Genomic DNA, 17,783 nt, shown 5'->3' on the forward strand with positions numbered 1-17,783 from the left:
ATATATATGAAACGTGGCATTTCAAAATGCCAGTTAGCAAGCATCATAAGGGAATGTAACCCCCTATGGAAGACATCAATCGTTGGTGCCTCTCCAGTAAGGAGAAGTTGAATCACCGTGCTTTTGATTACAGATTACATTTCCACATCAATCTGAATAAGGAAGGGACATACTTTCTGACATTTTAAATGTTAGCATTAGGCAATGTGAAACTAGCTAATTTATTCTGGTCAAAGGAAAGAGGTATAGAATTGAGCATTATTATAAATTCATGTTAATTCCTAATAGTTCCTTTTCCAGGAATCCAAATTTAACTTCATGGTTTCGATAAATCTAATAAATTGTATGAGAACAGATGGAACAAATTATTCCAGATGCATGCAAATGCATGCATTTCCAGCAAATGGAAAGCATTATAATTCCACACCATCCTATAATAGATTTAAGGTATAGAAATGTGAAGCATTGAACCTTGTAGCTGTATAGCTGGACGTTTTATTCATGGTACCTTTACCAGAAATTATACCTGATATGGTCTGTGTTCTGCCAACCTTATTTGTTTTGCACCATGCGGTATAGGAGGTGGGGAAGATGAAGACATAAGAGAGAAATTTAACCACACAGAAATCCAATTCAGATAATTTAACATTATGTAAAAGATCTTTCTACTTAAAGCAGCACTTGACTAAAAGATACCAAAACTGAATTCTGTATTTCATCACAACTCACTGAACCTGGAAAATGACTACGAGCTGAGAGCCCCTCCAGCTGAAGGTGATAAATGACAAAGAACTTTGAGAGTTATCAGTACACTAGAACCTCAGCAGACCTAACTGAAGGCTCTTTCCTGAACAAAAAACAATAGGAATTTTCAAAAACCAATTAAATACTGACTTAGGAACTCATTCAGTCTTATCCAGGATATGGTTTTCAATCCTGAATTAGCAGCACCATAATGAACCCCACCTTTGAAGCACATTAAAACCCCTTGATCTTTTCCCACTAGAGTAATTCCTCAGTAAATTGCTTCATTGGTTTTGTTTCTTTGCCTGGAAGGAAATATACAATTCATTGTTCATGTTATTGATCACTGTAGTAGTCCTTGTATTTCCTCTAACAATTGTGTCTGTTCTTCTTCCATGTATTAACATGCTACATTGATTTTTCAGCACTTAAGATTTTATATTTTCATTTAAAATACAAATACAAGTATATGCCAAAATATAATTTTAATGCATTCTATTCTATATAACTAAAACATTCTAAAATTTTTCAACTTGAAAGGGGATTTTGTCACCTTTTGCTGGAAAGTTGTATAGTGGAGTTACTTCAGAGATTACATGTATTGCTAGCATCAAAATCATCTTTCAAGGGCTTAGGTACCAGACATCCTCATTTCATTAGATTCTCTTTATGTACTCTGTAGTTTTCATCTTCATGGCTTATCTGTATTATCCTAGTATTCCTACCTAAAGAATTTCTTCAATCTCTCTAACACATTAGAGATTGTTCTTGCAATCTGATTCTGTCGAGTCAATCATATTTCTTCCTTCCTTTAAGATCTGACCAAACACTCATCTCTAGCTAATTTTCTCTGATCAATTCCATTATTCTCTGATTTTGACTCATCTTTTAATATTAGCATAGTTAGATATATTGTTTTTGATGTATTGCTTTGTAGTTGTACTTTACCTTCTGGTTATCTTACAAGAATATTCCAAGTTTGCTGTTATTGTTCACAATAGCTCCAATATCTTTTGAAATCACTCACATCATCTATTAATAATAATAATGCATTTGTCCTTTTAAGCAAGGACAACCATTATAAGTCATCAGGGTTTTTCTTTTGGAGGGAACAGGTATCAATCCCTCCAGCTTTTAGAAGCTTCTTCATAGACACTTTACCAGAGGGACGCTGTAGTAAAAGCAAGTCGAAACCCGTATCTGTCAAATATCAAATAATTATTGGAAAGGAGACACAAAACCATAATACATCTTATTTTTTGTAAACTCAAGGAAGTCACTGATCTCTGTCCTCAGCCACTTTGGACCATCACATTGCAGGAATAAAATGTAAGAATCCAGGATAGTAGAATCTGTAATTCCCAGAGCTCTGTTTGTTTTGTTGTGGTTTTATCTCAGCTTTATTGAAATATAATTGAGAAATAAAAATTGTATAAATTTAAAGTGTACAAGGTGATATTTTAATATACATACACACTGTAAAGTGATTACCACAATCAAGCTAACATATTCATCACTCCACAGAGTTATATTTTTTTGTTTGTAGTGCTGAGAACCTTTAAGATCTATTTTTACCAAATTTCAAGTATCTAATGTTGCCACTGAAAGTAATGGCAAACTGCAATTACTTCTGCACCAGACTAATATTATTATTATTATTATTATTATTATTATTATTAACTATAGTTACCATGCTGTACATTTGATCTCCAGAATTTATTCATCTTATACTGAAAGCTTGTACTCTTTGACCAATCCCCCCTTTCCCTAATCCCCCAGCCCTTGGCAACCATCTCCAGTCTCTGTTTCTATGAGTTTCTCTTCAGATTCCACATGTAAGTGAGATCATGTGGTATTTGTCTTGCAGTGTCTGGCTTATTTCACTTAGGATAATGTCCTCTAAGTTCATCCATGGCAGGATTTCCTTCTCTTTTAAGGTTGAATAATATTTCATTGTATATAAACATAAATATAAATACACACACACCATTTTTTCTTTATCCATTCATTCATCAATGGACACAAGTTGTTTCCCTTTTGGCTATTGTGAATAAACTGCAGTGAAAATAGAAGTGAAGATATATTTTCAAGAACTGTTTTTAATTCCTTTGGATACATACTCAGCAGTGAGGTGGGATTGCTGGATCATATTGTAGCTCTATTTTTAATTTTTTGAGGAACCTGTATACTCTTTTTTATAATAGCTATAGCAATTTAGAATCCTATCAACAGTATAAGGGTTTCTTTTCTCCACATTCTTGCCAACACTTGTCATTTGGCTTTTTGATAATAGCCATCCTAAGAAGTGTGAGGTGATGCCTCATTGTGGTTTTGATTTGCATTTTCCTGATGATTAATGATGTTGAGCACAGCACTTTTTCATACATTATAAAGCTACAGTAATCAAAACTGTATGTTACTGTCACAAAAACCAACACATAAACCAACAGAATAGAATGGAGAGTTCAGAAATAAAGCCATGCATGGGTACAAAAGTACTAAGGATACACAAGGGGAAAGCATAGTCTCTTCAGTAAATGGTGCTTGGAAAACCAGATAACCATATGCAAGAGAATAAAATTGGATTCTTATCTTACACAATACACAAAGTTCAACTCAAAATAGCCTTATACATACATAATATCTGAAGTCGTAAATATCCTAGAGGAAAACACAAGAAAAGCTTCATGACATTAGTCTTGACAATGATTTTATGAATATGACCCTCAAAGCATAGGTAATGAAAAACAAATATAAACAAGTGGGTCTACATCAAACTACAAAGTGTTTGCACAGCACAGGAAACAAACAACAAAATGAAAAGGCAACCTACAGGATGGAAGAAAATATTTACAAACCATATATACAATACATGACTAATAGCCGAAATACGTAAGGAAGTCACGAAAATCAATAGAAAAACATGCGAACAAACACAAGCACCTAAATAAAAATGTGGGTGAAGGGCCTGAATAAACCTTTTTTTAAAGGTCACATGCAAATGACCAACAGATATCTGAAAAAGTGCTCAAAACCAAAGCTCTGTTTTGTCCAGTATCCCCACTCCTATCACAGAGAAATTTGTCACCTTACCTGACAAAAAAAATGAGATCATTTCATCAGCCTCAAAATAAAGGACCCAAGAATATATTCCCAACCAATGTGGGAAATCCCTGCTGGTAGAAGACCATCCAGCAAGTGACGTCATCACCAGAAAGGCATTAAGGGACACAGTTTAAATGTTGCAAAGGATTTTAAAAGAATCAGGAGTGAGATAACACTCAGAAATAATTTTTAGTTTTATTATGTAAGATAATATTACTTTGTCAATGTAAGAAAATATTTTTGTCTTTCAGAGTAGATGCTATATTTGGTTCTGCCTCCCACTCCCCCCACCACTATCCTACTTTATTTCACAGAGGAGTCATTTTGTGGCCTCACAAGAGAGTTGGCCAATTCTGCTGAAAGATTGGCATTGACATTTGCTTGTGGGAGTGCCTGAGGACAGAGAAACCTCCCAGCTTGCATGACTAGGTTGGATAACTTCTTCTTCCTGTTTGCCAATAAACATTATGTTTGGCAGAAAACGGTTAAAGATTTGCTCCTATTGCAGCAGGCTGCCTGTTAATGAGAGGGATGTAGTCTTCCCTTCCCATAGCTGGAGTCTTTTAACACATACTGAAAAAAGACTTCATAGCTTCTAAAGGATCAAATTGGCTTATGTCAGTTTATAACAATAGGATTTTATCATTGACTGGCCATACTGACCTAGTAGTAATAAGATACTTTTCTTCCCGAGCTGTCTCTGAAATAGTAGCTGCTTCATGAACATCTTGTCTGATGAATTATTTTCTTAAATGACTCTCTTTTCTCTCAAAATCTGAAGGTGTTCTAAAAATACTAGCAGTTTAATCCAAGGTCCATTTTGCAAGGACTCTCAGTCAGCATATTTTACAGAGAGAATGGCTGGTGGAGTCATTTTACTAGAAGACATGACATGGCTTGAATTCCCAAATCAGATCACTGCAGGCCAGGTAGCAGGTCTTCTCTTAGCACTTTTCTCTTCACCTTTCCATGCAGCAGAGGGCAGTAGTGAACTGTGCATTTTTCTATGCTTTATTTCCTTTTGAAACATAAGCCAAATACATACAAGAATAATAATACATTTAAAAAATAATATTTAAACTATTCCACATGTATAGTATTTTTGCTTCACTGAACAAACGAATTTACCTGGGCCACAATCCAATAGATAGTAGCTAATTTTAGACTTCAGACTTGTGCTTGTTTGGACAACTTAGAATTTGAGTATAATGTTATATTGCAACTAGTCGTTAACAAATCAGGTGTGAGAAGAAATTAGACATTTCAGTGTTTTCTGAGAAACACAATTTCCTTAAGGAAATGTTGTGGCATAAATGTATTTTAGCTATATTTTAGGCTTAAAACATTGTGTTCTTCAAGGAAAATATCAAATCTTTCACAAAATTCTATCTTCTTTAAAAGTCTTTTTAATAAATTAAATAAAAATGATGTTTATTGTCAAACAACTACATGTATGGAACTAAAAAATTAGAGTTATGCAGTAGGAAAAAAAGCCCTCTGACTCACTTTTTGGTACTCACTATTTCTGTTTACCTGGGCTAGTCAATTTTAGCTTTTTAAAAGTTTCTTATTTTCTGGTATTTACCTATGTATTTGAAAATATCATGTTTATCCTAATATTTCCTTATTTTTTGTCTTAAATGTCATCTGTTGTCTTCCTAGTAAATAAGATGAAAAGTTAGCTCTTTTATACTCCTCTCTAATATCTCCTCTCCATATTCTTCCAAAATATCATTTAAAATTATTCAATCTTGGACCTTGTGCTTCACTCGTAGTAGGCAATTATTAACTATATATCTACTTGCAGGATATTTGAACCACTGAAAGGGGTTTCCAATAAAGAAAAGGTTATTCACATATATTTTAAAACATATGGAATGCAGCTAAGGCTGTGTTTAAGGCAACCTACAGGATGGAAGGCAACCTACAGGATGGAAGGAAAATTTGGAACTCAATCTTTTTTATGTCAATTTTTCCAAAATTGATCTATGGCTTGAATACAATCTCAATCAAAATTCCATCTTTTTTTGAAAATTTGTGCACTTTCTATAATGCAGATCCAGTATACTTATGGTAATCTCAAAAGAGAACAAATGAAAGCTATACAGTACCAGATGTAAAGACCTGTTACAAAAGCACAGCAATTAAGACAATGTAAGATTAGTACAAGCACAATCATACCAATGAACTAAAATATAGAGCCCAGAGACAGTTCCATACATGATATATGAGATGATATGTGACAAAAGCATTGTCGCAGTTCTGCGAGTTAGAAAGATCTAGGTCAACTGGAAATCTATATGGGAAATATGTACTTTGACCTACGATATATGGGATAGGCAAAAATTAGGGGTATATCATATACCTAAATATAAAAAGAAAAACAATAATTCTTCCTGAAGAAAATAGGGGAAAATCTTTAAGACCTTTAAATAGTTGGTGTTTCATGAAGATCTTCTTAAACAAAGATTTCTCGAACAGTGTGAAAACTCACACCATACAAAAAAGATTATAAGTGAACTGCATTAAAATTAAGAATTTATTTTTATTCAAATACATTTTAACATTAAGTGTTAAAAAGCAAAGCATAGACTCATATTTGATAAATTGTATTCAGAATAAAGAGCTCCTACAAAACAATAATAATAAAAAGACTGACAATTGATTTTTTGTTTTTTGTTTTTTTGGTTTAGATGGAGTCTCACTCTGTCGCCAACCTGAGGCTCTCGGCTCACTGCCACCTCCACCTCCCGGGTTCAAGCGATTCTCCTGCTTCAGCCTCCCGAGTAGCTGGGACTACAGGCACGCACCACCACGCCCGGCTAATTTTTGTATTTTTAGTAGAGACGGGGTTTCACCATGTTGGCCAGGATGGTCTCCATCTCTTCACCTCGCTATCCACCCACCTTGGCCTCCCAAAGTGCTGGGATTACAGGTGTGAGCCACCGCGCCTCACCTGACAATTGATTTTTTTAGAAAACAGGCAAAGACTCCTCACAAGAGAGTGTATTCCAATGATCAATAAGGATAACAAAAGGGATGTGCAAATGGCTAGGTACAATTGATTAGAGAATTGCAAATTAAAGTACAGTGAAATACAGATACACGTCTATCACAAGAGCTGAAGTTAGAGACTGTCAATGCCAACAAGGATGTGGACCAGCCAAAGAAAGTGTAAATAGTAGGAGCAAAGAGCCAGCACTACCCTTAGGCTAGGATAGCTGAAAGACAAGACCTCCTGGAAGTCCATTGGAAGAGAAACCCAGCAACTGCCACCTAAGGCCCAGTAGGGAGGGAACTTTCCTCTGCTAGCCAGTCTGTACCTTCCATTAAACAAACTAAATTGGAAGCCAGAGGGCGCTGGGTGCAGCTGATGCAATCTATAAGGTCAGACTCCCATAGCACAGAACTGAGTGGAGGGATGTGGTGACTGATCTGGAGGGGTAAACAAAGAGCCAGCAAGACTGTTCAATCATTAGATAATTTGTTTGCTCTCTCTCTATCAATGTAGCTAGCTAACCTAGCTAGCTATTTATTTTTGCCTAGCTGTTTCTGTTTGTTTACTTTTTGGTGGGAAAGTTGCTGCATATGTAAAGAAAATCAAATGGCACAAAAGATTCAGAATGACAAGCAACTAACATTTGTATGCTTACATGTCAGGCCTTTGCTAAGCTTATTTACAGACTTCAGGGCTTCCTGCTCGAGGTACAGTATGATTAAATTTTGGAGGTGGGAAGAGGATATTAGCTAAAGGCAGTTGCATATGCTACAATAGTAACTTTTTAAAAAAGTTTCAAAGGCAAAATACTTTTACAGTGAATTTTATTAAAATTTGCATAATCAAAACTTACAAGGGAAGAGAGACAAGCATAGTCTAACACTATGATAGTTAATAGTTAAATTAATTTGACTAATGGTCCCATTAATTAATTTAATAGAGCAATACTTATTTGATCGGAGTATTTATCATTTGAACAGCTGGCAATGATTTGTTCATCTTATTTTCTTAAAGAAAACATCTGCAGAGGGAATGTTAAAATAATGACTACATTTTGCAATTGAAGGTTTTTGTGTTAAGTGCATGATTTTTCCCCTGGCACGAAAGACATGTAGTTCATGGTAGCAGATGGAATATACACTGCAAAAAAATACTTGTCATAATCTAACCACCAAAAATACATTACATTTTTAATATATTTAATATTATTTTCTTCCAACATATTTACAAACACAACTTTTTTAAGAATTATGTTTTATGTATACATACCTAGGAGTTATTTCAGGTTCAGTTCCAGACCACTACAATAAAGTGAATATTGCAATAAAGTGAGTCACACAAATGTTTTGGTTTCACAGTACATATAAAAGTTATGTTTACACTATCCTGTAGTCTAGTAAGTATGCAATAGCATTATGTGTAAAAAAATGTGGAAACCTTAAAAAATACTTTATTGCTAAAAAATGCTAATGATCATCTGAGCCTTGAGAGAGTTGTAATTTTTTTGCTGGTGAAGGTTCTTGCCTTGAGGTTCATGGATGCTGACTGATCAGAGTGATGGTTGCTAAAGGGTGGGGTGGCTGTGGCAATTTCTTAAAATAAGAGAACAATAAAGTTTGCCACAGTGATTGACTCTTCCTTTCACAAAAGATTTCTCTGTAGCATGCGATGCTGTTTGGTAGCATTTTTCCAAGAGTAGAACTTCTTCCAAAATTAGAGTCAATCCTCTCTAACCCTGTTGCTGCTTGATCAATTAAGTTTATATTATACATATATATGTGTGTATTTATACATATATATACACATAAATTTATGTCACATTCTAAATCCTTTCTTGTAATTTTAACAATGTTCAACTCGTCTTCACCAGGTATAGATTCCATCTCAAGAAACCATTTTCTTGGCTTATCCATAAAAAGAAGCTTCTCATCTTTCCAAATTTGATCATGAGCTTGTAGCAATTGTCACATCTTCAGGCTTCACTTAGAATTCTAGATCTCTTGCTGTTTCTCCTACCTCTGCAGTTACTTCTTCCTCTGAAGTCTTGAATTCCTCGGAGTCACCCATGAGGGTTGGAATCAACTTCTTCCAAACTCCTGTTAGTGATATTTTCACCTCTTCACATGAATCACAAATGTTAATGGCATCTAGACTGGTGAATCCTTTCCAGAGGTTTTGAATTTACTTTGCCCAGATCTATCAGAAGAATCACTATATATGGAAGCTATAGCCTTACAAATGTATTTCTTAAATAATGAAATTTGAAAGATGAAATTACTCCTTGATCTGTGGGCTGAAGAATGGATGTTGTGTTAGCAGACATGAAAACAACACTAATCTCCTTGTACATGTCTATCAGAGCTCTTGGGTGAATAGGTGCATTGTCAATGAGCAATAATATTTCAAAAAGAATTTTTCTTTCTTTTTTCTTTGGAGGAATATTTTCAGTTTGTTAAATAAAAATGTTTTTTAGAGTGATACTTTTCACATTACAAAAATAAACCAAAATGAAGAAAAGGTCACTGTAAAATGACGGAAAATGATCTGTAGATTTGCTTTTAGTATTTCAAATAGCCGACAATGCATGTCAGAAAATGAATGCAAGATCACAACAGTCTTGTATTTACTTTGTATTTGAAGAAGATAGTGAAGTGGCCACATTCTATTTTCTTTTAATTGCTATTAATATGGTTGATCTGATTGGCTCTTCGATGAATTTCATCCAAGAAGTTCTCCAGTTGTTCTATTAGCATTCGTTTTTAAAACCTTGATGCTTCTTTAATAACATTTTGTAAAAATATTAGTCTTGTTTGTAAACTGCCTTGCACATGCTTCAGTAAAGTGAAGATTCTTTCATATTTTCTCCCTGGCTTTCAGATCTCTTTCATTATTTGTGGTTTTAGTTCGATATTGACCTCTTCATGGCTTCTGCAATGGATCAATTTCTTTCCTTTGTTGAGTGAAGATGCTGGTATGTTCTCTTCAGCACATTGTTCTTTATCTCTTGGCTCCTCATGATTTTCTAAAAATCCACCAACAGTGAGGTCATTCGTTCCTAAATTGTCATGACCAGGAGCCTCCATATGATTGGTTGGCCCTTCCAGTAAACTGGCTGGAGAAGATGTTGAAAATTCAGTATCCATAGCATTTGGTGTAATGTCTGACGAAAGTTGGTCTGCAACATGATTTTCAACCACATCATGTATTATCGAATCATTAGTGGTTTCTGAAATTTTATGAAGAGGAAGAAGCTTAATAAGATCTGGCTGTGCTTGAGTTGTAGGTGCAGGTGGTCCTTTTCCCCCGATATGATTGTTTACAACAGGATTCTGCTGTCTGCCTCTTAGTAGTGGAGACATACACTGACGTCTTTTAGGGATCCCTTGCATATTTGATTCTCCAGGTCATTTATGTTTATTTTGAGGTCCAGCCACAAATTCATCTGCTTCATCTGTCATCATACCCTTTTTATCCAGCTTAAAGGAATTGCCAAATGTATGTAACCTTTGCGGCTGATCAGGATCAAGTTCTCTTAGTGGAGAAGGTAACTTGCTTGAGGTATTCCTGGTAGTTCCCCATTTGTGCTATAGGAACACTGCACTTGATCTTCGTCCTGTCCTTTAAGAAATCTGCGAGTGTGCTTCAAAAGATTAGATCTCATTCTTGTTAAGTGATCCAAAAGATTTCGTCTTGGAATGTCATAAGCATTTCTAAATGTCTGTGGCTTCAAATCCTTATTCAGCAAAGCAACGTGGAACCCAGCGTATTCCTTCATATTAAGGTCTAGCAGTCTGTGAGGGACATCTGAAATTCCCTGGAGGAGCTGTTGAAAATCTTTCCTATATGCCCTTGATAAACCATGTGATTGGCTCCAGACTTTTATTTCAGTTTCCTGTACTCCTTTTTTGCCTACAGATCCAATGACTCGATCAGATTCTATTTTGGCCTGTTGACTCAGTTTTTTGAGGTATGAAATGACACTGTAACTAAGTCCATATTCCATACTGTCTGCTATTAGGTTAGGTGCTCCCATCATACTAACAGCTTTCTTGAAGGGCCCGAGATAGTAGGGAGGCACGGTCTTCAAATAACTTTCAAATGACTGTCTCCACTTCAGTGTTGGTTTTGCTTTATGCACTTTAAGCAAGTCATCTAAGAGGGGAAGGACTGGGTAATTGTAAGGCATCACAAATACATTGACACAGTTCAGTGCCATACTGGCTTTCAAGTAACCAAAAGGATGACCAAGTTCACTGTATTTTGCACTATTGCTGACGTACACCTGCCAACATGTTTGAGGAGATTTCCTTTCCAGGATAAATTGAGTCAGTGATGAAGGTTCCAACTCGTATTTGTCAAAAGGAAGTTTATCAATAACCATTGGTTCAGTCTGTACAGGAAAACTTCACTACAGGATGAGATGTACGAAGTGGTGGTGTTGGCGAATTTTGATCTGGCCAAAAAGACTCTGGAACAGGCCAATGACCTATAGGAACCCCAGTTTTAGGATTTGGTCTGACACATATGAGTTTGTGACAGTTATGCCAAGGCTGAGATCCAAAAGGCCTTGATATATCTGGCTGCCCATCTTCTACAGGGGAAGGATCCGGTCCTGCTTTTTGAAAGTTTATTACCACCCAACTTTGTACTTTCTGCACCAAGGACTCCAGACACTGATTAAGCATTCTTGGAGAACACACAAAATACGACCAGCCGTCTGGTGTGATTGCAGGGTCATCTAAAGGCACACCTGTCAACTGTTCTGATTCTACTGACATGGTGCCAGGCAACTGCAACACTAATGCAAAGAATCTCTGATCCCAAGGAAAAGGTTCCTTGGTCAATTCACTTCCAGGCAAAGGAGAATTAAGAGGTAAATGAAGCTCATCCTGGACTCCACTGGTGGTAGTCAACTTGCTCCCATCAGTAATTGTGATAATTATTGCTGGCTCCAAGAAAAAAGGGTTTCTTCCCTGCCCATAGTTGTCTATGCCAGTTGCTAATCTATTTAAATTTAATAAATCAAAAGCTGTCCTTAGGGATTGGCCAAGAGTCCTAAGTCCTTCAGCCTGAAGGTTTTTCAGTTCATTCATAAACGTTGCATGGTTTTCTTTCCATCCAGCCTTGATAGCACAGGGCGGCTCTTCGAAAGTGACGAGCATATACCTGTCTCCTCTGCTGGCAGGGTCCCGGGCACGGAGCCGAGGGACTAGAGGAGGAACAGGGCGAGCGAGAGGGAAGCACAGAGGCGAGGTTACCAGGCGGAAAAGGGGCGCCCAGCGGCCCCGCCGCCTCCACAGTACCGCACACGCAGCGGCCACCCCTCCACGCGGTCCCCCACACACAGATCGCTCCCCACGCACAGCACTGGGGCGGGAGCCCGGCCCAGGCCTAGCCCTCCTCGCAGCGCCCGCCCGCCCTCGCGTTGGGGGAGGGGAGGGAGGGGCATCTTTCTTTCTTATCAGCAAGTCTCAATAGTGGGCTTAAAATATTCAGTGAACTGCGCTATGGATAGATGTGCTATCTTTTAGGCTTTATTGATCCACTTAATAGAGCACAGGCAGAGTAGATTTAGCATAATTCTTAAGGGTCCTAGGATTTTTTTGAATGGTAAATGACCATTGGCTTCAACTTAAACTCATCAGGAGCATTAGCCCCTAACAAGAGTCAAACTGTTTTTAGAAGCTTTGAAGACAGGCATTGACTTCTCCTCCCTACGACAGACCTAGATGAAATCTTCTTCCAATATGAAGCTATTTCATCTACATTGAAAATCTGTTTAGTGCATTCATCTTCATCATTTATCTTAGCTAGATCTGAATAAGTTGCTGCGGCTTCTCCATCAGCATTGCTGCTTTATCTTGTGCTTTGATGTTATGGAGATGGCTTCTTTCCTTAAATTTCATCAACCAACTTCTGCTAGCTTCCAACTTTCTTCTACAGCTTCCTCACATCTCTGGGCTTTCATTGAATTGAGAGTTTGAACTGGGTTAGGCTTTGTTTCAAGAGAATGTTATATAATTGGCTTGATCTTCTGTCAAGAACATTGAAACTTTCTGCATGTCAGTAATAAGGCTGTTTCACTTTCTTATCATTTGTGTGTTCATTCAAGTAGCACTTTAAATTTCTGCCAATAACTTTTGATTTGTATTCACAGCTTGGCTAACTGTTTGGAGCAAGAGGCCTGGCTTACAACCTGTCTTGGCTTTTGACATGCCTTCCTCACTACGCTTAATCATTTATAGCTTTTTACTTAAAGTGAGAGATACGTGACTCTTCCTTTCACTCGAACACTTAGAGGCCATTGTAGGATTATTAATTGGCCTAATTTCAATACTGTTGTATCTCAGGGAATAGGGAGAATCTTAGAGAAGCATAGAGATAGGGGAATGACTGGTCTGTGGAGCAGTAAGAACACATACATGTATTAATTAAGTTTGCTTTCTTATATGGGAGTGGTTTGTAGTGCCCTCAAACAATTACAATAGTAACTTTAAGATCACTGGTTACAGATCGCTATAAGAAATACAACAATAATAATTAAGCTTGAAACATTGCAAGAATTACCAAAATGTGACACAGAGATACAGAGTGTACAAATGCCGTCTCTGTGTCGCATTGGGAAATGACACTGATAAACTGATAAAATTGCTCAGCACAGACTTGCCACAAACCAGTTTGCAAAAAATGCAGTATCTATGAAGTGCAATAAAGTGAAGTACCATAAAGTGAGATATTCCTGTAAGTATCCTTTGTTTTCACCTATACCACACGTTTCCCCATATGAACATCATTGCATAGATTTCTATTGTCCATATCAGTAATAATTTCTTAATGAGGGATTACTAGAAGTAAAAATACTTTATCAAATTCACGTTACTTATCTTAAAAATCTTGATACATAATAGAAAATTACCTCCCTGAAAGTATTTATCTATTTACACTCTTGGCAGCATTTCATCAGAATTCAGGTTCACAGTTTCTTCACCATTTTGTTCTTTGAAAATTTGATAGGCCAAAATCTGGTATGTCATTATTTTATTATGAATTTATTTGATTACTTGTGAGATCAAATATGTTTTCTTGTTTAACAACCAGTTTTATTTCTTCTGTTTTTTTGCTGTAATCTATTTAACTGAATCCACATGTTCTGTCCTTTTGGCTAATAGATATTTAAAATAATTATTTTTTAACAAAGAATAAGTATGCTAAACATTATTATATGAGTTTTGAATATTTTACTAGTTTGTCTTTTAAAGTAGCTTCTAATTTTTAACACTAAAACAATTTTGACTTTATATGTAGTCAAGTGTATAACTTTTTGTATAATTTTTAGTATTGGGGGATTTAATTTGGCTTAAAATTTTAATATTTAATCCATTTATAGTTTATTTCAATGTAGTTGTAAAGGGAGATCTAATTTTATTGTGTGTGCATGTAGACATACATATATATATTTAAAATTTATTTATTTTTTAAAATAGAAAACCTTTCCAAAAATGTCTAAAAGGAACTTATTTGTTCCACACTAAATTATTTTATTCTTTACACTAGCTATGTTGACTTTTTTTCATGCCTTACAGCTAGAACTTCTAAAATTATATTACTAATACTATTTACAAGAATCCTTATTCCCCATTGATTTTAATAGAAACACCTCTGTTACTATGCAATACTTAATTATTCCATCATAGTCTATAATTTGATTTGTTATTCTCTTTTTAATCCAAAATTTACTATGGAATACTTTTAATTTCTAAATTGTAATGTATGTATAGTGGTGAATGAGACTTAGTGGTTGTGCTTTTGTTATTTATTTTTAACTGAAATATATTTTGTATGTATTTGTCGGAAAATAGATAATTGTAAATTTGACATTTTACAATTTTTTGAGATATTCTTTGTGATTCAGTGTGTATATTTTTCTCCGTATGCCAATGGATACTTAAAAATGTGGATAATAAAGTTAAATTTACAGTTAATAGTATTACAAATTATTTTATATGTACTTTTTGTGTCCTTGATTAATAGTTTTTAAGAGGTGTATGTTATAATTATAGGTGCAAAAAAGCTCATAGTGGAACATGTCAATGCAATATAGCCACTAATTTAATGACTCTTACCTTGGATTCTGTGTTAATGTTTAGTAGAACTGCACTGTTCCTATTTGAGTTTCTCAGATGTATTTTAATCCACCTATTTACTTTAACATTTTATTACTATTTTGATTTAGGTATATTTCTTAAACTTTTGAGCTTTATTATTAATTCAATATGAGGTGTTTTTTTTTTGTTTTTTTTTTGAGACGGAATCTCGCACTTTTGCCCAGGCTGGAGTGCAGTGGCGCGGTCTTGGCCCACCGCAAGCTCGGCCTCCAAGGCTCATGCCGTTCTCCTGCCTCAGCCTCCCAAGTAGCTGGGACTACAGGCGCCCGCCCCCATGCCTGGCGAATTTTTTTGTATTTTTAGTAGAGACGGGGTTTCACTGTGTTAGCCAGGCTTGTGTCGATCTCCTGACCTCGTGATCCACCCGCCTCAGCCGCCCAAAGTGCTGGGATTACAGGCGTGAGCCACTGTGCCCGGCCCGAGATCTATTTTTAATAAGATATTTAATCTATATTAATTTCATAGCAAATTAGCATGCTCAAAATGAAATTCCTCCTTATGAATTTTCATTCTCCAGGAATTTTCATCTCAATAAATGACAGTGACGTTAATCCAAATTCCAGGGTACTCATCACTATTTCTCTCCCTTTAATACTTTGATAATTCAGTTCTGGCTGGGCGTGTTGGCTCACCCAGCCACCACTTTGAAAGGCCGAGGTGGGCAGATCACATGAGGTCGGGAGTTCACGACCAGCCTGACCAACATGGAAAAACCCCATCTCTACTAAAAATACAAAATTAGCTGGGCATGGTGGCACATGCCTGTAATCCCAGCTACTCGGAAGGCTGAGGCAGGAGAATCGCTTGAACCCGGGAGGCGGAGGTTGCGGTGAGCTGAGATCGTGCCATTGCACCCCAGCCTGGGCAACAAGAGCGAAACTCCGTCTCAAAAAACGAAACAAAACAAAAAAAAGAAAAAAGAAAAAAAAGGAAAAAAAAAGAAAATTCAGTTCATCTGCAAATCATGTTGACTATATCTCAAAAGTGAATTTCAATTCTGCCTCTGCCCATCTCCCTTGCCTAATAATACATCATTATTTCTCACTTAACACTTTCACAATGCTTCCTCTATTGCCTCCTGTAATGGATTCTTCATGTTGGAGCCAGAGTTATATCTTAAAGTCTTTAATCCATTTTAAAAATGTAACTCAGACTCTAAAATTCTTATGCTTTAAACTTTTCTATGAATTCTTTTATTTTGACCTAAATGCAAACTTTTTTTTTTTTTTTTTTTTTTTTGCATAGCTACTTTTGTATTCCTTCTCAACCTCAATTCTCTTTCTCAGTTGCTTCTGTCCACCCACACTGGTCTTTTATCTTTAAGCCAGCCAAGTTCATTCATACTTTAGGACCTTCATATGTACTTTTCATCTGCTTAAAATGTTCTTCAACCCAGCTTTTGGCATCTCAGCTCCCCTTTCGTATGTCATGCTTCATTTCACATGCCTTGGCCTGTGAGCCTTTCTCCAACTATTCTATGTAGATAAATCGCTCACTACCTCACCCAGTTACTCTAACACAATCATATTCAAACTGTAGAAGATATTCCCAGGGATATTCCAGCAATGATAGATTTAAGGAAATCTATCAATTCAATTAACTTCCATATATTTCACCATACCAGGTTATATGAAAAATCACTTGGTTGCCAAGAAAAAAAACAAAAGAAAGCTTTTTGTAATGTTTAAACAAGACACATGCATCTTGAAGGCCTCTTCTCTTATAAATAGTTTTCTTAATGGTGAAATATAGCATCGACAGAAGGGCATTTTGGCTCTGTTAGGAAAAGTTTTGAATTTAATCAAATGGTGGAGTGGACAGGTATAAGTAATCATTTAAAAAATCAAAGAGTGCATCATTCTTAAAAGAGGATACCAAGAGCAAAAGTAAGATAGCATAAAAGAGAGACATTGAATGCACACAAAATTTTAAAAAACATATTTAAAGTCAAGCAATTATCTTCAGAAATTCTTAATATTGTATTCATCTTTAAAATATTTTATCTTAGAAATTATCTTTAGAGTATTAAAGCAGCATTAGTTATTATGTTAATTCATATAGTTAGTCTCTCACTAGATATTCTTGAAGACTATCAAAATTTTCAATATACATTGGATAAAATCCAAGGATAAAACTTACATGTAATTTCTTTTAGCATTAGTGCATATTAACCAATAAGGTAAATAAAGCTGACCTAGTCAAATCATATCTTGATGTATTGTTTTAATTATAATGAATGTTCATCTTATGTCATAAAATATTTAATATTGTCTACCTTCTATTTAACAAAAAAGAAGTTACATGAGACGATGTATTTTTCTGTTATGTTCTATTATTACATACTAACATACACTTCTAATATTACATATTAGTACATAGGAAAAGTTTTATCATGATGTTTTATGCAATTATTGGAGTTATTACTGATTTTTATCAGTAAAAATTTTTGTCACTAAAAATATAAATTTTTACTTGTTTATGCCCATAAACCAAACATTAAAATTTTATATTGTACTCATGTTTATTAAAGATGTAACATATTTTTTATCATTCTCTATTATAAATAATAATTATACTTACTGAGACTGCATTATAAATTGAGCATGTAAAACAGAATAATATCTTGTTTTTATAATTTATAAAATTTGATAAATTTATTAAATTATTTCTACATCTCTAATCTTGACTGCTTTTTGGTAATATATCTTTTATGACATACTACAATTCCTTTCTTAGTGTTTTTATGGGACTTCTTGAGATAGACATCTTAG

The 17,783-nt window shown here is 35.4% G+C and overlaps 1 pseudogene; it reads right to left on the reverse strand.

The window, feature by feature from the left end:
• Window positions 1–9,324: 9,324 nt before the first annotated feature.
• On the reverse strand, window positions 9,325–12,049 carry INTS6P1 (integrator complex subunit 6 pseudogene 1; annotated as a pseudogene).

This window comes from Homo sapiens, chromosome 5, assembly GCF_000001405.40.
Source record: "Homo sapiens chromosome 5, GRCh38.p14 Primary Assembly".
NCBI classification, from domain to species: domain Eukaryota; kingdom Metazoa; phylum Chordata; class Mammalia; order Primates; family Hominidae; genus Homo; species Homo sapiens.